Here is a 23837-nt window from a genome sequence, read left to right as displayed (position 1 = left end):
CATGTTTCAGAAAAAAATATATATATACAAAAAGAGAAAAAGACAAAGAAATGTAGTACAGGGTAACATTTTCGGAATCTGGTTAAAATGATTAAATGAATTCTTTGTGTAACTTTTAGATCTGAAATACTTAAAATGTTAAATATATAAATAAAATAACTACTCTCATGTAGCATATTTATATAGAAGAGCTATTTATCAAGAAGAATAAGCAGGAAATCTAAAGTGCCTTTTCAGGCTAATTCAGTTTGGTCCAAAGTTACCTGATTACAATCCAGCATGCTTCTTGCCACAAATCCGGGGTGATTTCATCATCATCCTCATCATATTGCATATCTGTAAAAACAAAAATATTGTACTCATTTGCAATGAGATGCCACTTAGTTAACATCTTGCTCCTATGACTTTAAGTAGCAGAAACATATTTACTTTCTGCTGAATAAGTAATGCTTTCACCCCACTTTTCTAAAATTTCAATTACATTAATAAAATAATTTATGTCTATGTCACACAGGTATTCTTCCAATATAAAAAGAGGTTTATTAGAAAGGTTCAATGTAAGTTGTATGAATGTTAAGTTTTCCATTTTATTGATCAGCAAGATTTTCAGACACTAGAGTCAGAGAACAGGGTAAGGGGGCAGAGCCATGGAAGGATTCCAACAACTGGGCAATACCCTAAGGTGGGGCAATCTATTATAGCAACATTTCATACATGTACAGGTATGAAAGTTTGCATTTTCCAAAGATGGCCACAAGCCTATCTCCCATCCGACATGGTCTTCTATAATGTGATCTTGACACTCCTATCATCACATATAGTGGTCTATGCACCCTCTCCTTGAATCGGGTAGATTTTGACTCTCCTGTAACTTAAGAGAATGCAGCTGAAGCAATGCTGCATGACTTCAGAAGCCAGGTCAGAAAAGGCAATGAAGTTTCTGTCATGTTTGCTAAAACACTTCCTTCTGGAGCCCTGAGCTGTCATTAAAAAGTAGGGGTGGCTCAGGCCTGTAATCCTAGCACTTTGGGAGGCCAAGGTCGGTGGATCACCTGAGGTCAGGAGTTCGAGACCAGCCAGGCCAATATGGCAAAACCCTGTCTCTACTAAAAAAGACAAAAATTAGCCAGGCAGGGTGGCACATGCCTGTAATCCCAGCTACTCAGGAGGCTGAGGCAAGAGAATTGCTTGAACCCAGGAGACAGAGGTTGCAGGGCCCGCCTCTCACTCACCGCCCGAAAGTCGGGGCCGCCCCACGGGGCGGCGGGGGGGAGTGCCATCCCCGCCTCGCCACAGCACCGAGCCCGCCGCCCGTCCCTCGCGGCTACCACCGGTCCCTCGCGGCTACCGGGCACGGAATGGGCGGTCCGCCTCCTCGCAGGAGCTGAGATCGCGCCACTGCACTCCAGCCTGGGCCACAGAGCGAGACTCTGTCTCAAAAATTTAAAAAAATAAAATAAAATTTTTTTTGTAAAGACATACACTATTCTGAGGCTGCTACATACTGAGAAAGCCCGAACCATAAGTAGAGGCCACTTACAGATGCTCCATTAGCAATTTTAGTCCTTGAGTCCTCCTAAGCTAATGTCTCATGTCAGACATAGTCAATACTACAGATCATCTCTCACCCAGCTGTCAACACTTGGCCTTAATGTCTTCCCAAATGAACCAGAGTCACGGTGGAACACAGGCAAGTCATGCCTGCTATGCCCTGTCCAAAATCCTAACCCACAGTATCCATGAACATAACAAAATAATTTTTTAAGTAGCTAAATTTTAGCGTAGTTATGCAACAGTAATTTAAATATGCATTCAAAAAAAAATCAGTGTGCACTGGTCCTCTAATATTAGTCCCATCTTCTTAAGGGAAAGAATAAGTGTGCTGTATTTTTGGCTTTTATTCTAATGTACACATATATAGCCTATGAAATTCAGGAGATCTGGGTTCAAAATTTGATACATATACAAAATAAATTTTTAATAAATACTTCTTAAATGGACTGGAATTATTAATCCCTACACCTGAGGGAAGGGTAAGAAAGACAAAGCTATGTATAATAGCTCAGACATTTCTAGCTTTGATGAGAGATTAAAAGTTAACATCACTGCCATACAGGAGAAGCAAGTAAGATGGTGGAAAAAGGAGAGGTAATGATGAGATCGGCTTTAGAGATATCTATAGATCACAATACCTTCAAATACTTCTAGTAGGCACACATATATGAATATAAACTCAAATGAAGAGTCTACATTATAGACAAAGAACATGTGACACATAATAGATATACATTGGCATATAACAAATGTGTATCTATTATGTGTCAATAAAATAAACGTTTTAAAATTTGAAAAAAAAAAAGTACATAGTTGGAATCATTAACAAATGGGTGGGAGAAAAATGAGATTATACACAGACAAGGAAGGCTGAAGGCAGGATATCTGGGAACAACTTTAAAAGTCATACAAAGGAAAATGAACTCATGAAGGAGACTCATTTACTCATCCATTTATCAGATTTTTTTTCAGGCTGGGCGCACTGGCTCACACCTATAATCCCAACACTTTAGGAGGCCGAGGCAGGCAGATCACTTGAGACCAGGAGTTCGAGACCAGCCTGGCCAACATGGAGAAAACCCATCTCTACTAAAAATACAAAAATTAGCCAGGCATGGTGGCACCTGCCTGTAGTCCCAGCTACTAGGAAGGCTGAGGCAGGAGAATCGCTTGAACCCAGAAGGTGGAGGTTGCAATGAGCCGAGATCACGCCACTGCACTCCAGCCTGGGTGAGAGTGCGACCCTGTCTAAAAAAAAAAAAAAAGTGATATGAATATTCCTGACAAAGATCTGAAAAGGTTAGGGAAGACTTCCCAAAAGCTGGGCAGAGGCCAGGTGCAGTGGCTCATGTCAGTAATCCCACCACTGGAAGGCCAAGGCAGCAGGATCACTTGAACCCAGGAGTTCGAGACCAGCCTGAGCCACAAAGCGAGACCCCCGTCTCTAAAATTTTCTTTAAAAAGCTGGCCGGGCGCAGTGGCTCACGCTTGTAATCCCAGCAGTTTGGGAACCCAAGGCAGGTGGATCACAAGGCCAAGAGTTTGAGAGCAGCCTGGCCAGCATGGTGAAACCCCGTCTCTACTAAAAATACAAAAATTAGAAGGGCATGGTGGCGCATCCCTGAAATCCCAGCTACTCAGGAGGCTGAGGCGAAGAATCACTTGAACCTGGGAGGCAGAGGTTGCAGTGAGCCGATATCACACCACTGCACTCCAGCCTGGGGGACAAAGGGAAACTCCATCTCAAAAAAAAAAAAAAAAAAAAAACCTGAGCAGAGATCTCGTGTTATAAACAGGAGTAATCAGGCAAAAGGAAGGGACAAAGGTAGGAGTCAAGAAAGAATCCTACCAAATAGAAAAAAACAAATTGTGCAAAAGACCCCATAATGCAAGACAGGATGGCATATTCAAAGAATGATAGAAGGCCAATGTAGCGGAAGCACAGATTGTGAAGTTGGAAGTGGAATAAGAAGAGTTTGGCCTTTACCAAGAGATATGAGTTTAGCAGGGTTGTGGCTAGGTCAGATTTTCATTTCTGAAAGATCCCTATGGCCAGTGTGGAGAGTGGATTGGAAGTATACAAATCAGTTAGGAGTAATCTAGGCAAGGGATGGCAGCAACATGAACTAGAATGATGGTGGAGGGGATAGAGAAGTGGCCAGATTTGACATATTTAGGAGACAGAACCAACAGGGCTTGGTGACTGATTAGATATAGAGGTGAAAGAGAGGAGTCAAAAATGATGCCCAGGCTTTCGGTTTCAACAACAGAGGGTACAACAGTTGTACCTCAGTGTCCATTGGAGACTGGTTTCAGGACCTCCCATAGATACCAAACACAGATGCTTAAGTCCCTGACATGAAATGGCACTGTTATATACCCTAGGCACACATCCTCCTGTATCTTTTAAATTATCTCTAGATTATTTATAATACCTAATACAATGTAAATGCTATATAAATAATTATTTACTTGTAATGTTTATGGAATAATGGCAAGAAAAAAAAAGTCTGTACATTTTTACAAGGACGCAATTTTTTTTTAATATTCTCTTTTTTGTTTTTTGAGACAGGGCCTTGCTGTTACCCAGGCTGAAGTGCAGTGGTGTGATCACAGCTCACTGTAGCCTCAAATTCTTAGGGCTCAAGCAGTCCTCCCACCTCAGTATCCCGAGGAGCTGGGATCACAGGCACATGCCACCATGCCCAGCTAATTTTTTAAATTTTTTTGTAGAGATGAGGTCTCCCTATGTTGCCCAGGCTGGTCTCAAATTCCTGGCCTCAAGCTTTTTAATATTTTCAATCCAAGGTTAATTGAATATACAGATGTGAAACCTACAGATACAGAGGGCCAAATGTGCCCTTCACCGAGACAGAGAAGACAGGAGGCAGTGGCTTTGGGAGGGGAATAGCAAAAGAAAATAATTAGCTCAGTTTGGGCAGTTGACAAGGTTAAGCAGCCTGGGAGATATCCTAGTTGGCTAGTGGCAGTTAGATACCCCAGATTTTAAACTAGAAGTATACACATTCAGAAGTTATCCGCATACAGATGGTAACTGAAACAATGGAAAATGGATGAGATCACCCAAGGAGAATGTGAACAGGAAAGAAAATGAGAAAAGTCAGATAAGAAAAATCAAGTGAAAGTGATGTCGCTAGAAAGCTGAGTGAGTTTCCGGGAAGATGTCATCAACAGTTTTGAAGACCACAGGGTTTAGATAAGTTTTAAATATCCATCTCATTTATCAATTGAGAAGTCGCTGTCAATCTTAGAGCTATCTTAATGTAGTAGCATGAGTAGAAACATATTGTAATCAGTTGAAAAGCACATGAAAGATGAAAATTAGAAACAAGGACAGCTTATTATTTTTATAAGTTTGGCTGTGAGTGAAAGAAGAAAGGTAAAATACTAGAAGAAAAAGGTAACAATGAAAAGAATTTAACTTGTTTCCATGTGGATGACAGAAATCTGACATTTTCACATAGTGACTGAAAACTGATGAGGACGTTATCTAATAAACATTTCAGAGGACATGGGCAATAAAATGTAGGTTCACTGCTAAAGCAACCCTGATAAACTCTTTTTCCACAGGATCATTATACATTGCTAATAAGAATGCAAAATTAGTACAATCACCACTATGGTGGTCACTTGGCATCATCTAGCAAAATGTTAAACGTGCATATCATTTGACCTGACAATTTTATATGTAGAAATGTATCCCACAGACATACTTGGGCAAATTATACGTACAAGATTATTCATTTACAGCACTGTTTGAACCCGAAAATGACTAGAAATAAACCGAATATCCATCAAGAGACTACTTAAGTTATGGTACATCCACACAAACTAAGTAACTGGGGGTGGGGACACGGGAGGGGGGGCGCGATGCTTTCTGTGTACTGATACGAAAATCTCCTGGACACATTAAACAAAATCTAAAAGTGGAGAAAAGTGTGAATATTACTGTCTTTAAAAAAAGAGAAAATCCCATTTATATTTGCTTAAATATGCATAAGGAAACTGTGGAGGCTGGGCTTGGAGGTTCACACCTGCAATCCCAGCACTTTCGGAGGCCGAGGCAGGTGAATCACCTGAGGTCAGGAGTTTGAGATCAGCCTGGCCAACGTGGAGAAACCATCTCTACTAAAAATACTAAAATTAGCTGGGCACGGTGGTGTACGCCTGTAATCTCAGCTACTCGGGAGGCTGAGGCAGGAGAACTGCTTGAACCTGGGAGATGGAGGTTACAGTGAGCCGAGATTGCGCCACCACACTCAAGCCTGGGCAACAGAGCAAGACCATCAAAAAAAAAAAAAGAAACTGTGGAGTGATAAGAACCTCTTATAACTGTTATAACTGTAGTTACCCACTGTGGAGAGTTCAAACTGGGCAGATGGTGGGTAAGAAGGAGACGTGACACTTTAACTTGTTTTTTTTGAGACAAGGTCTCACTTTGTTCTCAGCTCATAGCAGTGTCAACTTCCCAGGCTCAAGCGATCCTCCAGCCTCAGCCCCACAAGTAGCTGGGACTATAGGTGAGCAAGACCACGCCCAGCTAATTTTTCTATTTCTTATAGAGAGGGGTCTCCCATGTTGCCCAGGCTGCTCTCGAACTCCTGAGCTCAAGTAATCCACCCGCCTCAGACTCCCAAAATGCTGGGATAACAGGCGTGAGCCACTGCACCAGCCACCCCACTTTAACATTTTTAAATTTTCTGGCTTGTGAGCTATGAGAATATATTACCCAGCCAAAAATTATGCTTTAAAAATCTTTTTTTTCGAATTTTTCTTCTACTGAGATAGTAGTTAAAAAAGAACAAGGAATATAATGATGCTAATAAATTTCTACAACACAAGATATAAATGAGACAGAAGTTTAAACAGCTTTAAAAGTTTAAGCTTTTGGCTGGGCACATTGGCTCATGCTTGTAATCCCAGCACTTTGGGAGGCCGAGACAGGCAGATGGTTTGACCTCAGGAGTTTGAGACCAGCCTGGGCAACATGGCCAGACCCCATCTCTTAAAAAAAAAAAAAAAAAATTAAGCTTTTGCTTCAATTTTTTCCATCTGATTTATCAGAAGTACCTGAGGGAATAGAGAGAGGAGATGTAGGGGGTGGCCAAGGAATTGAGAGCTATAAGAAAATAAGGTTTGAATTAGCAGATATGGAGAATGGAAAAGGCGGCTACGAAAATACACTAGACTCAACTAAGAATTTTTTTTTTTTTTTTTTGAGACAGTCTAACTCTGTCACTCAGGCTGTGGTGTAGTGGTGCGATCTCAGCTCACTGCAAACTCCGCCTCCTGGGCTCAAGCGATCGTCCGGCCTCAGCCTCCCGAGTAGCTGGGATTACAGGCGCACGCCATCACACTAGGCTAATTTTTGTATTTTTAGTAGATACAGGATTTCCCCATGTTTGTCAGGTTGGTCTCAAGCGATCTGCACATCTCGGCCTCCCAAAGTGCTGACGGGAGCCACCGCGCTCGGCCACTACTAAGAATTCCATATGCGCAAACAAACAGGTATTATACATTGGCCCAGTGCAGCAGAATACATATCATCTGAGAACTGTGACATTGTGAGAAGAGGAAGTTAAAAGTCATCCTTTAAGACAATTTACTTTGACTTACAAACAGTATGAAGAAATGTCAGACTAAACCGAGTCCCCCCCGCCACCCCCACCCCCCGATATTCTCTGTCCCGGAATATTTCCAGGACCTTCCACACTGCCTGACACAGGCTGACACTCAACAATTGAGCTATTCGTTAAGTCGACTGTGGCTTTAAGGAAAATTTTTAAAGGGTGCCCTTTGCTTCAAATTCAAAACGTAATTTATCTTACGATTCTGCACGCTACTTCACCACAGGAAACGAGGATCAGATCTAACGGAACGAGAAAGTGCAGAGAGCAGCAGTGAACGTAACCTGGAACATTAACACTATGTTCCCTGCACCCTCCGCCTCTCCCTACCCCAGTTTCGTTCCCGGCCTGGTAAGTGTGGGAACAAGGCTGGGGACTGTGCAGCCGGCGCATGGGAAGGCCCCAAATCCTCAATCCAATCAGTTCCCAACGCTTTCCTGCTTAAATGGACCGCCACGGCGTGTGTTTTGAGCGTTCACCTACCCTCATCCGCGTCGTACATATTGCCAAACGGTTCTCGAGCTCCTAACTCTTGAAATCAAAAGACAAAAACCGCCCAGAAGCCAGCAGCGCCAGGAGCTAAAGACGAAGTAACTTCCGTCTCCGACGTTCCCAGAATACCACGCGTCTCACACCAAAGGCCGCCCACAGGGACGCCAAAGTTAGGATCTGCGCCTGCGCAAATTGTAGGTCAAGCTTGGGCCGGGGTTAGGGTTGCACACGCGTAAATTGTGGGCCGCCGCTGCCGGGCTGATTGAGAGGACAGCTCCCGCAATCTGCGGTCGTATCCGTTCCGTCAATGTTTTATTTCTGCTTGTTTTTCAATGTTGTTGCACAAATAACGACACCTGAAAACAAAACCAGGTATACTTATTATTAAAAAGTGTTCGTCCTGTGAATCCGCAACATTGGGATGCTCAATTTATTTGCCTTTATAAGGACCAAAACACGAAGCTATTTTTTATTTTTATTTATTTATTATTTTTTGAAATGGAGTCTCGCTCTGTCGCCCAGGCTGGAGTGCAGTGGAGCGATCTCGGCTCACTGCAACCTCCGTCTCCCGGGTTCAAGCGATTCTCCTGCCTCGGCCTCCCAAATAGCTGGGATTACAGGCAAGGGTCACCACGCCCGGGTAATTTTTGTATTTTTAGTAGAGACGGGGTTTCACCACGTTGGCCAGGCTGGTCTCGAACTGCTGACCTCAGGTGATCCACCCGCCTCGGCCTCCCAAAGTGCTGGGATTACAGGCGTGAGCCACGCGCCCGGCCGGAAGCTCCTTTCTGTTTTTGTTTTGTTTTGTTTTTTTGAGACAGGCTCGCTCTGTCGCCCAGGCTGGAGTGCAGTGGCGCGATCTCGGCTCACTGCAACCTCCGCCTCCCGCGTTCAAGCCATTCTCCTGCCTCAGCCTCCCGAGTAGCTGGGACTACAGGCGCCCGCCACCACGCCTGGCTAATTTTTTGTATTTTTAGCAGAGATGGGGGTTTCACCGTGTAAGCCAGGATGGTCTCGATCTCCTGACCTCATGATCCGCCCGCCTCGGCCTCCCAAATTGCTGGGATTACAGGCGTGAGCCACCGCGCCCGACCCCGGAAGCTCCTTTTTAAGTGTGATTTATTAAGGGCGGCTTGTGCTAGCAGTGAGGCGTTAAGCCTGAAAGTGAAAAAACCCAAAACACTCACTGCTCTTTTCTGCCCACCTAGCTCAATCCTCCAGTGCCTTTGCCATAGCTTTAAGTAGGTTCTCAGTCTCAGAGCTTAAATCGCGAGAACTGACGGGATTAGACGCAAAACCAACCAGGACAGCTCCCAAGTACCCACGCGCTTTCGTCTCGGGTCAAATGCGCGCCTCGGACCCTAGTGCGCGTGCGCGCTGGTGGCTCCGCCCCTTTGGAGCTACTTCCTCATGCTGCCCGCTCGCCTACCGTTCAGGCTGCTGAGCCTTTTCCTTCGTGGATCCGCTCCCACGGCAGCGCGCCATGGCCTCCGGGAGCCGCTCCTGGAGAGGAGGTGCGCTGCCGCCTCCTCCTTCCAGCACTCATCGAGTCTGGGACGCGAGCTTCCTTATGACCCCGTGGACACGGAGGGCTTTGGAGAAGGTGGTGACATGCAGGAGCGTTTTCTGTTCCCGGAGTACATCCTGGATCCGGAGCCGCAACCCACCCGCGAAAAGCAGCTGCAGGAGCTCCAGCAACAGCAGGAGGAGGAGGAGCGACAGAGGCAGCAGCGGCGGGAGGAGCGGCGACAGCAAAACCTACGGGCCAGGTCCCGGGAGCACCCGGTCGTGGGGCACCCGGACCCGGCATTGCCGCCCAGCGGCGTGAACTGCTCGGGCTGTGGGGCAGAGCTGCACTGCCAGGACGCCGGAGTGCCCGGCTACCTGCCCCGAGAGAAGTTCCTCCGCACGGCGGAGGCAGACGGCGGGCTGGCACGGACCGTGTGCCAGCGCTGCTGGCTGCTGTCGCACCACCGGCGCGCTCTACGCCTGCAGGTGAGCCGCGAGCAGTACCTGGAGCTGGTGAGCGCCGCGTTGCGGCGGCCCGGCCCCTCCCTGGTGCTCTACATGGTGGACCTGCTGGACCTGCCCGACGCCCTGCTGCCCGACTTGCCCGCGCTGGTGGGCCCCAAGCAGCTGATCGTGCTGGGAAACAAAGTGGACCTCCTGCCCCAGGATGCTCCTGGCTACCGGCAGAGGCTGCGGGAGCGACTGTGGGAGGACTGTGCCCGCGCCGGGCTCCTGCTGGCCCCTGGCCACCAAGGGCCACAGCGCCCCGTCAAGGACGAGCCACAGGACGGGGAGAATCCGAATCCGCCGAACTGGTCCCGCACAGTGGTCAGGGACGTGCGGCTGATCAGCGCCAAGACCGGCTATGGAGTGGAAGAGTTGATCTCTGCCCTTCAGCGCTCCTGGCGCTACCGTGGGGACGTCTACTTAGTGGGCGCCACCAACGCCGGCAAATCCACTCTCTTTAACACGCTCCTGGAGTCCGATTACTGCACTGCCAAGGGCTCCGAGGCCATCGACAGAGCCACCATCTCCCCTTGGCCAGGTGAGTTTTAGGAGGCTCGCCCTCTTCGTTTCCTGGCAAGGTGGACGTCTGGTCCTGGCCGAGGCACCGAGTACATCCTCCCTTAATGTCCACTGCGGGCTGCCTGTACCCTTCCCTTTACAAATTCTCTCCCCACTCTGGTCACACCTCTCTTCTGTGTCAGCTTACTGCTAGGGAAAATTGAGGATGTGTTGTAGTAATTTTCAATGGAAGTGTTTATGGAGCACGTCTCTGTTCCCAGTCACTAAGCACTGGAGATAGACCAGGGAACAAAGCAAAGTTCCTGTTCTGGAGATTTGCTTTGTAACTTCTTTGTATATTGTTCCAGAAAGTGTGCGTCCTTTTTACTGTCTGAACCTAATGAACTTTGTGTTTTGTTTGTTTGTTTTGTTTTGGAGACAGAGTCTCACTCTGTCGCCCAGGCTGGAGTGCAGTGGCGTGATCTCGGCTCACTGCAACCTCCGCCTCCCGGGTTCAAGTGATTCTCCTGCCTCAGCCTCCCTAGTAGCTGGGATTCGAGGCATGCGCCACCACACCAAGCTAATTTTTGTGTTTGTTTTGTTTTGTTTTTTGAGACGGAGTCTTGTCTTGCTCTGTTGCCCAGGCTAGAGTGCAGTGGCTCACTGTAACCTCCGCCTCCCGGGTTCCAGTGATTCTCCTCCCTCAGCCTCCTGAGTAGCTGGGATTACAGGCGCACGCCACTATGCCCAGCTAATTTTTATATTTTTAGTAGAGACGGGGTTTCACTATGTTGGTCAGGCTGGTCTCAAACCCCTGACCTCGTGATCCGCCCGCCTCAGCATCCCAAAGTGCTGGGATTACAGGTGTGAGCCACCGCGCTTGGCCTAATTTTTGTATTTTCAGTAGAGATGGGGTTTCACCTTGTTGGCCAGGCTGGTCTGGAACTCTTGGCCTCCCAAAGCGCTGGGATTACAGGCAAGCACCACCATGCCCAGCTAATTTTTGTATCTTTGGTAGAGACAGGGTTTCAACATGTTGGCCAGGCAGGTCTCCAACTCCTGACCTCACGTGATCTGCCCACCTCGTCCTCCCAAAGTGCTGGGATTACAGGTGTGAGCCACTGCTCCCAGCCCATTAGTGCAATTTGATGTGTGGCTTTGCCGGGCTCAGTGGCTCACATCTGTAATTCTAGCACTTTGGGAGGCCAAGGTGGGCAGATTGCTTGAGCTCAGGAGTTCAGGACCAGCCTGGGCAACATGGTGAAACCCTGTCTCTACTAAAGATACAAAAATTAGTCAGGCTGGTGGTGCGTGCCTGTAGTCCCAGCTACTCAGGAGGTTGAGGTGGGAGAATCACCTGAGCCTGGAAGGTTGAGGTGGCAGTGAGCCCTAATTGGGCCACTGCACTCCAATCCAGCCTGGACAACAGAGACCCAAAAAAACAGAAGTATCAGTCTTGTGACTTTAAGAAACTTCTGTGGCCAGGTGCAGTGGGTCACACCTGTAATCCGAGCACTTTGGGAGGCCAAGGTGGGCAGATCACCTGAGGTCAGGAGTTCCAGACCAGACCTGCCCACATGGTGAAACTCCCATGTCTACTAAAAATACAAAACTTAGCCGGGTTTGGTAGCTGGTGCCTGTAATCCCAGCTACTCAGGAGGCTGAGGGTGAAGAATCGCTTGAACCTGGGAGGCTGAGCCAAGATCACACCACTGCACTCCAGCCTGGGCAACAGAGCAAGACGCTGTCTCAAAAACAAGAAAGAAAGAAACAAACTTCTGTAATTAGAAAATGAGTCCTTCTATGGTTTAAATTTTTTTTTTTTTTTTTGAGACAGAGGCTCACTCTGTCGCCCAGGTTGGAGTGCAGTGGTGCGATCTCGCCTCACGGCAACCCTCACCTCCCAGGTTCAAGCGATTCTCCTGCCTCAGCCTCCCAAATAGCTGGACTACAAGTGTGCACCACCACACCCAGCTAATTTTTTGTATTTTTAGTAGAGACAGGGTTTCACCATGTTGGCAAGGCAGGTCTCGAACTCCTGACCTCAAGTGATCCACCCGCCTGGGCCTCCCAAAGTGCTGGGATTACAGGTGTGAGCCACTACGCTCAGCCAGGCTTAAATTTAAGTTGACAAAACTGACTGCCCCATTTGTTCCCTTGAAACCAAAGTTTCATTTAGTAAGCTGCTCTTCTCTGTCTTGCACTTTGAATTTTACAGAAAAATTACTTTTATACTGAATGGTAATGTGATAAAAATGGAAAGAAATCGGGCCTACAGATTTTGGATTCCAATTCTGGTTTCCCCTGTGAACTAATCTCTTAACCTATTTCCTCATTTGTAAAGTGGCAGTAATTTTATATTTTATTACAGTAACCAACACAGTGTAGATCCTCAAAAATGTTCATTTTCTTCCCCCTTATTCCCTTTTGTAAAGATGTATTTATTCTGTGTATTTCAGGTACTACATTAAACCTTCTGAAGTTTCCTATTTGCAACCCAACTCCTTACAGAATGTTTAAAAGGCATCAAAGACTTAAAAAAGATTCAACTCAAGCTGAAGAAGATCTTAGTGAGCAAGAACAAAATCAGCTTAATGTCCTCAAAAAGCATGGTTATGTCGTAGGTAAGCATCCTCTATGGGAAAACCCTCGTTGGTACTATGCTAAAATTCTTTGTTAAGCAACCTGAAATACAGCTGTCCGAGGCTAGCCAGTTTTTGTGGGGAGAGACTGCCTTCCTTATTCTGCAACAAAGAGGCCCTTTAGCGATAAGGCTACTGTTTGGAAACCCAGAGCAGTACAGGTAGTAAAAGTTTTTACTCCATGCAGCAGCTTTAGATTAGGTTGTCTGTCTTTCCTTGGTATATCTTTTCAGCCTTTCTTTAAAACAGTCTGATTTCCACACACCCTTGCCCCCGCCACTCCATGTACACAGCCAGCCACACGCTTGATTATTGCAAGAGTTGACTCCCACTGCTTTTTGGAAAAAAAAAAAAGCAAAAGTATCATTATGGTCTCACTTCCCTACACTGTAATCTTAGTAACTTGTTTGAGGGAAACATAAAAATTATGTCTGGAGTTAAAAGTATTAAAGGAGTGACTAATAACCTTACTATAACTTGTTCTAGGAAGAGTTGGAAGGACATTCTTGTATTCAGAAGAACAGAAGGATAACATTCCCTTTGAGTTTGATGCTGATTCACTTGCCTTTGACATGGAAAATGACCCTGTTATGGGTACACACAAATCCACCAAACAAGTAGAATTGACTGCACAAGATGTGAAAGATGCCCACTGGTTTTATGACACCCCTGGAATTACAAAAGAAAATTGTGTATGTATTTGGTTTCTTTTAGAAACATTTACTTTCTTTTTCTTTTTTAATGGGTTTATATTGCCTGCTGCCCAGATACAGCCAATTTATCAAGACAGGGGAATTGCAATAGAGAAAGAGTGTAATGCATGTAGAGCCAGCTAAATGGGAAACTGGAGTTTTATTACTAGTCATATCAGCCTCAGAAACATTTACTTTCAATTGCACAAGTACTGCTGTCTTAATTGGCAGAAAACAGGAAAAGAAGTATACTTCCATTTTAGACTCAGTTCTGATTCATTCATGAAAGCTGTTTAGGGGTGAATCTGTATGCCATCAAGTTCTGTGTTCCATTTGATAGACTTCATTGCTGACAACCAACTTATTTTATCATTGTGATTGTTACCTTGGTTAGGGAAACGTTTACAGAAGCCTAGGTTTTGAGGTTGGAAAAACACATAAATATCACTGGAGTCCAACTCCCTAGTCCCTGCTTGAATTACCTCTGTAACATATCCATCAAGGGGTCCTCCATCTTGAACTGAAAGGAGTGACTCACCAAAGCTGAAACTGTCATGTCACCTTCCAAGGTAACTCATTTGGGTCTTTGACCTTCTCTTTGTATTGAGTGTACTGAGCTGAATAGTCTCCCTGTAACATGTATCCATTGTTCCCCAAAGCCATCTGGGACTAAGGTAATACCTATTTCCCTTGCCAGACAAATATTTTAAAATGTAACGTCCCATCTCTTCTTCACCTATCCCTCCCTTTTCTTCTCTTTCATTACTTCATCCAGCAAACGTTGAGCATTCACTGTGCCCACAATCTGGATTATTTGTCTTCATTTCCTACAGCTGTGCTGTAGGAAACAGGCTATTCATTGGCCCAGGCCTCTTCAGAATGTTTTCTATGTTTGTTCTTAAAGTGTGACACTGAGAACTCAGTGCTCTCAGGTGAGCATGATTTAGAATAGCATTAACTCCGACCGGGCGCAGTGGCTCACGCCTGTAATCCCAGCACTTTGGGAGGCCCAGGCGGGCAGATCACAAGGTCAGGAGATCGAGACCATCTGGGCTAACACGGTGAAACCCTGTCTGTACTAAAAATACAAAAAATTAGCCAGGAGGTAGTGGGCACCTGTAGTCCCAGCTACTCGGGAGGCTGAGGCAGGAGAATGGTGTGAACCCGGGAGGCGGAGCTTGCAGTGAGCTGAGATCGTGCCACTGCACTCCAGTCTGGGTGACAGAGCAAGACTCTGTCTCAAAAAAAAAAAAAAAAGAATAGCATTAACTCCACCTGTCTTGTCCCTATGCCTCTCTTTTATCCAATTGCTCATGGACAACTTTGGGCCTCATAGGTAACTTTGACTTTGTCTTGTTAAATTCAGCCTATATCTTACTCTGTTAAATATTCATTCAATCTCATTACTTTTTATATTTGCAGTTTGGATCTTCATTCAGATCATTGATTGACTCAAATGTGCATCCAGGATACAGCCTCACAACAGATTCATTAATCATTTCCTTCGAATCTGGTTACTGACCAGTTTCCGATTTTCTAATTATCTCTGTATCTCCCTACAAAACCACATTGGTTTCTTAGGTACTTTTCTTGGCCTCATCAGGAACACTTATAGTTACATTCTCAGAATTGTATTCTATTTGGTGTCCCCTGTCATTGAATCATACACACCTTTTAAATTTTATTGCTCTCCTGGAATAATTGCTCATGCCATCTTTTCTTCCTTAGCAGTCCAAAAGTTCAGAGCTGCTTTCTAATAATATTCTGTCACTTTAGCTTAATGAACTAATTCTTCCCCCACCATACTTTTTTTTTTTTTTTTTTTTTTTTTTGAGATGGAGTCTGACTCTCTTGCCCAGGCTGGAGTGCAGTGGCGCAATGATCTTGGCTCACTGCAACCTCTGCCGCCTGGGTTCAAGCGATTGTCCTGCCTCAGCCTCTCGAGTAGCTGGTATTAGAGGCATGTACCACCACACCCAGCTACTTTTTGTATTTTTAATAGAGACAGGGTTTCGCCATGTTGGCCAGGCTGGTCTCAAACCCCTCACCTCAGGTAATCCACCCACTTCAGCCTCCCAAAGTGCTAGGATTGTGGATGGGAGCCACTACGCCCAGACTAATTCTTCCCTTTCAGATGCTATTAGATCAGGCATAGCAGTTACTTCAGTCATATATCCTCTATTAAATAGTTGTGTCAGAAAGGCAAGAATTTGCAAAATACTCTAGACAGCAGAATGAGAACCCCAAATTTTTAGATATAAACGTCTGTCAGCACTGGTAGTTTGCTTCTCTGTTAGTTTACAGATAAACTTATTTGATGTCTTAAACCAGGGTTTCCCAGACTGAACCAAGGATCTCTGTTGTGAAATGAAAGTATTAAGACTCAGGCTGTGCACAGTGCCTCACACCTGTAGTCCCAGCACTTTGGGAGGCCGAGGTGGGAGGATTGCTTGAGCCCAGGAGTTTGAGACCAGCCTGGGCAACATGCCAAAACTGTATCTCTACTAAAAATACAAAAAATTAGCTGGGCATGGTGGTACATGCCTGTAATCCCAGCTATTGAGGAGGCTGAGGCACAAGAATCACTTGATACACTTATTGGGAGGCAGAGGTTGCAGTGAGCCGAGATCATGCCACTGCAGCCCAGCCTGGGCAACAGAGTGAAACCCTGTCTCAACAAAAAAGAGAGACAAGGTTTCCCCTGTTGCCCAGGCTGGAATGCAGTGGCGTGATCAAGTAACTTCAAAGTCCTGGGCTCAACCAATTCTCCCACTTCAGCCTCCCAAGTAGCTAGGGCCACAGGTACATACCACCATGCCCAACTAATTGTTTAGTTTTTGTAGAGACAGGACCTCGCTATGTTGCCCAGTCTGGTCTAGGCTGGAGTGCAGTGGTGGAATCTTGGCCCACTGTAACTTCTGCCTCCCTGGCTCAAGCAATCCTCCACCTCAGCCTCCAGGGTAGCTGGGAACTACAGACACACGCCACCCCAGCTAATTTTTGTATTTTTCATAGAGGTGAGGTTTTGCCGTGTTGCCCAGACTGGTCTCAAACTCCTGAGCTCAGCTGGGCACAATGGTGCATACCTGTAATCCCAGCACTTTGGAAGACCAAGGTAAGTGGATCACTTGAGGTCAGGAGTTCGAGACCAGCCTGGCCAACATGACAAAACCCCGTCTCTACTAAAAATACCAAAAAAATTAGCCAAGCATGGTGGCGCACGTCTGTAATCTCAGCTACTTGGGAGACTGAGACAGGAGAATTGCTTGAACCCGGGAGGCAGAAGTTGCAGTGAGCCAAGATCACACCATTGCACTCCAGCCTGGGTGACAGAGCAAGACTCCGTCTCAAAAAAAGAAAAAAACTCCTGAGCTCAAGTGATCTGCCTGCCGCTGCCTCTGAAAGTCCTGGGATTACAGGCATGAGCCACCATGGCTGACCTGCAAATGGCTTTTAATGTGCCTTTTCAAACACAAATAATGAAGAAAACTATCTGCAGCCCCCTTATTATTTTTTTGTGAGCTGCTATGTATCATTTCTATTTTTTATTTTCTTGTTATTCTCTTTTTTTCCTTTGAGACGGAGTCTTGCTCTATGGCCCAGGCTGGAGGGCAGTGGTGCAATCTCGGCTCACCACAACCTCCGCCTCCCGGATTCAAGTGATTCTCCTGCCTCAGCCTCCCGAGTAGCTGGGATTACAGGTGCACGCCACCACGCCCGGCTAATTTTGTATTTTTAATAGAGATGGGCTTTCTCCATGTTGTTCAGGCTGGTCTCAAACTCCTGACCTCAGGTGATCTGCCCGCCTTAGCCTCCCAAAGTGCTGGGATTACAGGCGTGAGCCACCGCGCCCAGCCTCTTGTTAAGAAAGAAGTTTACAAGTTTTGTGTCCAATTTGTACCTTCTTTATTCTTTTTTAACCAGATTTTGATTCCTTAAATCTTTGCAGAATCTTGTACTTCTGTCTTTCCTTTTCTATTTTTCTCTAGTCTCTCTAGGAACTTGTCATCCTTAGAAGGGATTTATTATAAATCATAGGGATAAATTATAAATCCTCTGTGTTATAAGCATAGGGGATTTATAACTTTTTCTCATTCTCTGCTGAATATTTGGGAGAAATAAGGAAATTGAAGACCAGAATTTAGAAAGAGGTTCTTCAGCCACTTTACTTGCTCCTAGAATGGGGTGACCATTTTGCATTTAATGCATGCATACTTACCACTAGGACATAAGGTCACGTATACCATTACTTTAAGCGGAAATTGCTACTGCCCACAAGCCTTGATAAGGAGAGCATATATTTTCTATCTTGGTATTGAATCAACATGTTTTCAGGTTCACATTAATTTTGACATTTAGGGAATGCTGCTGACATAGGAAAGTCTCATACACCTATAAAGTTATTTTGCCATTACTGTAGATTAAGTTGTAAAACAAGGGTAGAGCCATCAGATTGAAATTAATTTAGACAGGAAGAATCTATATAAATTTGATGCATAGCAAACTCTGACATAATTTGGTTTATTTTGAAGTCTGGCATATTTTTCATCACTTTTTATTTTACGGGTAAATCATAATATATCATATTTTCAATAAAAGTATTTTCTTAAAAATCTGCCATTTGCTTCACAGATTTTAAATCTTCTAACAGAAAAAGAAGTAAATATTGTTTTGCCAACACAGTCCATTGTTCCAAGAACTTTTGTGCTTAAACCAGGAATGGTTCTGTTTTTGGGTGCTATAGGCCGCATAGATTTCCTGCAGGTAAGAAAAGTCTGTACTATTAAAAAATGATTTTAAAATATTGGGATTCACTTTAAGGAAGCAGATGTATGAACACGACTGACAAAATGTTGATAACTAAGCCATGATTGTATTGGGTTTAATTTGTTTTTATGTTTAAAAATTTCTGTAATAAAAACTTGGGGATGGCTGGGCACAGTGGCTCACACCTGTAATTCCAGCACTGTGGGAGGCTGAGGCAGGCTGATCACTTGAGGCCAGGAGATCAAGACCCGCCTGGTCAACGTGGTGAAACCCCATCTCTACTAAAAATACAAAAATTAGCTGGGCGTGGTGGCACACACTTGTAATCCCAGCTACTAGAGAGGCTGAGGCAGGAAGATCACTTAAACCTGGGAGGCGGAGGCTGCAGTGAGCTGAAATTGCACCACTGCACTCCAGCCTGGGTGATGGGGCGAGACTCCATATCAAAAAAAAAAAAAAAACTTGGGGAAAAGAAATGCCCTACTCCCTCATCCCCCCAAAAAAGTGCTAGGTCTTGAAAACTTACGTTTTCAATTGAGTACCCTACACAGCTTGGCATTTAAGACAAGATACTATCCCTATTCTATGGGATAGAGTCAAACCTATGGGATAAAGTCAAACCTTTAGGTACAGGGTTATAGGCGTTAAATTAATTCCACACTTTGTATACCATGATATGTGTGTTTTTATGCATACACGTTTTTGTTTGGTATTCGTTTATATAGCATCTAGGGATTTTGGAGTGTCTATAGAATTGCTCTCCATTTTGCTAAAGTGAAGAGAAAAAGGAAAATGAAACATGGATATGGATATGTCCAACAACACAATACAACTGTGTGCCATTACTATAGCACATTTCTTGGGTTTTGTGTTTGCTCATACTTTGTTAGAAATTTTGCCTTACACACTTAGAACCCTTATATATTTCGTTTTGGGAGGTTGTTGGTTTTTTGCTTTTGGGGTTGGTTTTTTGTTTTTTTGTTTTTTTGTTTTTTTTTTTTGAAACAGCATCTCTCTCTGTTGCCCAGACTGGAGTGCAGTGGTACAGTCACGGCTCACTGTGGCCTCAACCTCCTGGGCTCCAATGATCATCCCACCCCAGCCCCGCAAGTAGTCGGGACTACAGGCACACATCACCACACCCAGCTAATTTTTGTATTTTTTATAGAGACAGGGTTTTGCCATGTTTCCCAGGCTGGTCTCAAACTTGAGCTCAAGGGATTCACCCACCTCGGCCTTCCAAAATGCTGGGATTATAGGCATGAGCCACCACACCAGGCTTGCACCCTTATATATTTCATCAGAACACATAAAATGTTAATATTTTAAACCTAACTTTACACAGAGACAATTAAAGCAGATAGTATTTCCTTTTAATTTTTAATAATAGACTTTTTTCAAAAATAGTATTGGGTCTGTCAAAGAAGTCATAGTTTCACATGAATTGCTGAAATGCACTGCTTCAGTATTGTGCCCCTGTTCTTAGTAATAATTTGATTTACAGCTACTGCCATACCAGTACTTATAAAGGGAGTCTGATTGGGTTTTTGTTTTTTGGTTTGTTTTTTTTTTAGTTGATTGTACCTTGAATATGCAGGTTTTCCAAGTTTTTCACCAGGTCAGATAACTTCTTCCTTTCTTAAGGGAAATCAGTCAGCTTGGTTTACAGTCGTGGCTTCCAACATCCTCCCTGTGCATATCACCTCCTTGGACAGGGCAGACGCTCTGTATCAGAAGCATGCAGGTCATACGTTACTCCAGGTAAGGCAACATGCCTTGATTGCATGGTTATGGTTAGTATACACTGGGATGGTCCCATAGCTCTGTTAAGAAAGCCTTTGTTGTACAGAACTGTTATACAATATCTTGAGCTAGCTTTCCCTCACCTCATTCTCTTTGAGAATTCTGGCTATAAAGCAAAATTGCTCTATATAGACTGATCCTAGAATAGCCACACAGCTATTTTTTTCTCTAGACTACACTGTCCAATTTGGTAGCCATTAGCCCACATGTGGCTAAGTTTAAATATATTAGTGACAATTAAAATTTGCTCAGTGGCCAGGTGTGGTGGCTCACGCCTATAATCCCAGCACTTTGGGAGGCCAAGGCAGATGGATCACAAGGTCAGGAGTTCAAGACCAGCCTGGCCAAGATGGTGAAACCCCATCTCTACTAAAAATACAAAAATTAGCCAGGCGTGGTGATGGGTGCCTGTAATCCCAGCCACTCAGAAGGCTGAGGCAGGAGAATCACTTGAACCAGAGCGGCAGAGGTTGCAGTGAGCCAAGATCGCGCTACTGCGCTACTGCACTCCAGCCTGGGCAACAGAGACTCCATCTCAAAAAAAAAAAAAAAAAAAAAAGAAAATTTGCTCAAGTTAGCCAGGTATGGTGGCATGCACCTGTAATCCCAGCTCCTCGAGAGGTTAAGGCAGGAGGACCACTTGAGCCCAGGAGTATGAGGCTGTGGTGAGCCATGATTATGCCACTGCACTCTAGCCTGGGTGACAGAGTGAAACCCTGTCTCTAAAAAAAAAAAAAAAAAAGGGAAAATTTAAAATATGGTTGCTTAGTGTCACCAGCCACATTTTGAGTGCCCAATAGTGACATTGTTGCAAAAAGTTGTATAAACTCCTGACAGCCTCATCACCAATACACACACACACACACACACACACACACACACACCATACTTTGGACAATTAAGCTATAGTTCCCCGAACTCATCATCCTTTTTCCAGTTTTTATCTGTACCTGTGGCGACCGAAAATATCTTTCCACCAAATAACTTTGACTCATTTCTCAAAATATTGCTCATATATTGCTTGTTTTTGTTATATATATATAGCTTCTTTACTAATGTTTTCCTTGACTGAACACATTCATTACTCCTTCCTTCACAACCATAGTACTTATAGATGCCTCACATTACATTTCTGACCTTGTATTAGCTTACATATTATCTACCCCTTTGATTTCCTTGGGGGCAGAAACCATACTGCAAAATCTATCTTTGTGTTCTTAGTGCTAAACACAGGAGAGATTTGCTAATGAATAGATGAATAAATTACCCAGTTACAGCCAAGCGCAGTGGCTCACACCTGTAATCCCAGCACTTTGGGAGGCCGAGGTGGGCAGATCACCTTGAGGTCAGGAGTTTGAGACCAGCCTGGCTAACATGGTGAAACCCTGTTTCTACTAAAAATACAAAAAAATTGGCCTGGTATGGTGGTGCGCGCCTGTAATCCCAGTTACTCGGGAGGCTGAGACAAGAGAATCACTTGAGCCTTGGAGGCGGAGGTTGCAGTGAGCTGATATCGTGCCATTACACTCCAGCTTGGGCAGCAAGAGCAAAACTCCATCTCAAAAAAAAAAAAATTACTCAATTACTTCTAATCGTGGAAACACCTGTAAACATAAAAGCTAAATCTTATCCATTATATATGGACCCTTAACTCATAAAGACCAGGCATTAATCCTGATGGCCACACCTATAAGAACTAAGGTACTTAGAAGGACCGTGCCTTAATTGCCCAACATTAATCTATGTGAGGCCCTGTGGAGGATTCTAAAAACAGTGTCAGTGAAGCACAATTCTCCTGTCCAGAGGCTTCTGCCAGGTGCTTGCCCAATGTGTGGCCCAGAGCCCTGAGATTTGTAAGCTTCATCCCATCACAGAGTTCCCTTGCTTTTCATTTGACCCCAGAAGTGATTGCAAGTTCTTTTCAACAGTTGAATATTTGAAAGGATTTTATTCTTGATCCCTGTACAGAATTATCTTATCAGTGATTTGCTTAATGTTAGAGTTCCAAGAAATTTAATTTGAACTTGTAAATATCTTTATTTCATTGGAAGATTCCAATGGGTGGAAAAGAACGAATGGCAGGATTTCCTCCTCTTGTTGCTGAAGACATTATGTTAAAAGAAGGACTGGGGGCATCTGAAGCAGTGGCCGACATCAAGTTTTCCTCTGCAGGTAATTTTATGCCAAGCACTTTTTAAAAAGTGAATAAAAGGGCAGGCACGGTGGCTCACACCTGTAATCCCAGCACTTTGTGAGGCCGAGGTGGGCGGATCACCTGAGGTCGGGAGTTTGAGACCAACCTGACCAACATGGAGAAACCCCGTCTCTACTAAAAGTACAAAATTAGCCGGGCATGGTGGCGCATGCCTGTAATTCCAGCTACTCGGGAGGCTGAGGCAGGAGAATCGCTTGAACCCAGGAGGCGGAGGTTGCGGTGAGCCTAGATCATGCCATTGCACTCCAGCCTGGGCAACAAGAGCCAAACTCCATCTCAAAAAAAAAAAACAAAAAGTGAATAAAGCAGCCTTACCGACAATTTTTTTTATAGAAAAGTGCCTTAACTGATGAAAGCTGATTATTTTAAGGTGTACATACTAGTTTATTCATAAAATACAACCTATTCTGAAAATAAATTTGTACTTTGCACAAACGCATTGTATGCTTTTTTAAAACTAAGGTGTGTCCACCTGTGCCCCCAGCTTCTCGGGACGCCGAGGCAGTACGATCGCTTGAGCCCAGGAACTTGAGTTCAGCCTGGGTAACATAGCAAGACGCAGTTTCTTAAAAAATAATAAAATAATAAGAGAGTGAAAGAGAGTGACAGCGTTCTCTGATAGTCCATTTTCAGCTTTGGTTTGGTATTTTTAATAAGATGATTGCTAACAGCCTTTTGTGTTGTGTCACATGCCTGCATAGGTTGGGTTTCAGTAACACCTAATTTTAAGGACAGACTGCATCTCCGAGGCTATACACCTGAAGGAACAGTTTTGACCGTCCGGCCCCCTCTCTTGCCATATATTGTTAACATCAAAGGACAGCGCATCAAGAAAAGTGTGGCCTATAAAACCAAGAAGCCTCCTTCCCTTATGTACAACGTGAGGAAGAAGAAAGGAAAGATAAATGTATGAGACCGACCTTGTTCACTCCAGATATTAACTGTATTGAACACAACAAAATACATTGAATTTGTATTAAACATATAACGCATAAATAAAGCTCCCATTCTTACCCTTTTTTTCTTTTTTCTTTTTTTTTTTTTCTGAGACTGAGCCCTGCTCTGTTGCCCAGGTTGGAGTGCAGTGGCACGATCTTGGCTCACTGTAACCTCTACCTCCCAGGTTCAAGCAATCCTCCTGCCTCAGCCCCCCAGTAGCTGGGATTACAGGCATGCGCCACTATGCCCAGCTAAGTTTTGTATTTTTAGTAGAGATGGGGTTTCACCATGTTGGCCAGGCTGGTCTCGAACTCCTGACCTCAGGTGATCCATCCGCCTCAGCCTCCCAAAGTGCTGGGAATACAGGCGTGAGCCGCCGCGGCCAGCCTCACCCTTTTCAAAGCTCTTAACAGTTAACTTTTTTAAACTATTCAAGACTTATGTTCATAATGTATTCAGCTTATAAAAAGTTTTTTTTTTTGTATAGTATGTATATGGTATGTATCTGTGACCCACATATATATAAAATTGGAAGCCTGCTATATTCAAGTTTCTCCCACTACTGTTGTTT

At 44.6% G+C, this 23837-nt stretch overlaps 2 protein-coding genes across 4 annotated transcripts in view, besides 5 other annotated features; one reads left to right on the top strand and one right to left on the bottom strand.

The window, feature by feature from the left end:
• The window catches only part of POLR2B (RNA polymerase II subunit B), a 52263-nt gene extending 44469 nt beyond the window's left edge, over nucleotides 1-7794 (bottom strand). For 2 of the 3 annotated variants that reach the window (NM_000938.3, NM_001303268.2), the window contains exons 1-2: nucleotides 7686-7794; nucleotides 264-336 (exon numbers count right to left, since the gene is read on the bottom strand). In NM_000938.3, coding sequence (NP_000929.1) covers nucleotides 264-336; nucleotides 7686-7704 — 92 coding nt within the window. In that variant the 5' untranslated portion in view covers nucleotides 7705-7794. Of the gene's footprint in view, nucleotides 1-263; nucleotides 337-1232; nucleotides 1411-7685 lie in introns of all 3 variants that reach the window. The other variant, NM_001303269.2, reaches the window with a different exon arrangement.
• Nucleotides 7421-7520: an enhancer, noted in NCBI's record as "active region_21588". NCBI's record gives its function as "activates an Ori minimal core promoter by ATAC-STARR-seq in GM12878 lymphoblastoid cells {active_cell/tissue: GM12878}" and the evidence as "EXISTENCE:reporter gene assay evidence [ECO:0000049][PMID:35858748]".
• Nucleotides 7795-9083: 1289 nt separating the features above from the next.
• On the top strand, nucleotides 9084-23340 carry NOA1 (nitric oxide associated 1). The gene is made up of 7 exons (NM_032313.4): nucleotides 9084-10248; nucleotides 12668-12832; nucleotides 13337-13542; nucleotides 18175-18306; nucleotides 19954-20070; nucleotides 22164-22284; nucleotides 23029-23340. The coding sequence occupies exons 1-7, from the start codon at nucleotides 9105-9107 to the stop codon at nucleotides 23238-23240; spliced, it is 2097 nt and encodes a 698-aa protein (NP_115689.1). The 5' UTR covers nucleotides 9084-9104; the 3' UTR covers nucleotides 23241-23340.
• Nucleotides 9342-9411: an enhancer, noted in NCBI's record as "active region_21587". NCBI's record gives its function as "activates an Ori minimal core promoter by ATAC-STARR-seq in GM12878 lymphoblastoid cells {active_cell/tissue: GM12878}" and the evidence as "EXISTENCE:reporter gene assay evidence [ECO:0000049][PMID:35858748]".
• Nucleotides 9512-9591: a silencer, noted in NCBI's record as "silent region_15458". NCBI's record gives its function as "represses an Ori minimal core promoter by ATAC-STARR-seq in GM12878 lymphoblastoid cells {active_cell/tissue: GM12878}" and the evidence as "EXISTENCE:reporter gene assay evidence [ECO:0000049][PMID:35858748]".
• Nucleotides 9792-9851: an enhancer, noted in NCBI's record as "active region_21586". NCBI's record gives its function as "activates an Ori minimal core promoter by ATAC-STARR-seq in GM12878 lymphoblastoid cells {active_cell/tissue: GM12878}" and the evidence as "EXISTENCE:reporter gene assay evidence [ECO:0000049][PMID:35858748]".
• Nucleotides 21337-21439: a silencer, noted in NCBI's record as "fragment chr4:57831417-57831519 (GRCh37/hg19 assembly coordinates)". NCBI's record gives its function as "represses an EF-1alpha promoter that drives an FKBP-Casp9 reporter gene in an ReSE screen in phorbol 12-myristate 13-acetate-treated (for megakaryocytic differentiation) K562 erythroleukemia cells {active_cell/tissue: K562(+PMA)}" and the evidence as "EXISTENCE:reporter gene assay evidence [ECO:0000049][PMID:32094911]".
• Nucleotides 23341-23837: the final 497 nt, after the last annotated feature.

The sequence above is a fragment of the Homo sapiens genome, chromosome 4 (assembly GCF_000001405.40).
Source record: "Homo sapiens chromosome 4, GRCh38.p14 Primary Assembly".
Lineage (NCBI taxonomy): Eukaryota > Metazoa > Chordata > Mammalia > Primates > Hominidae > Homo > Homo sapiens.
The sequence above is the reverse complement of the archived record's forward strand: the minus strand, read 5'-3'. Positions and strand labels throughout refer to the sequence as shown.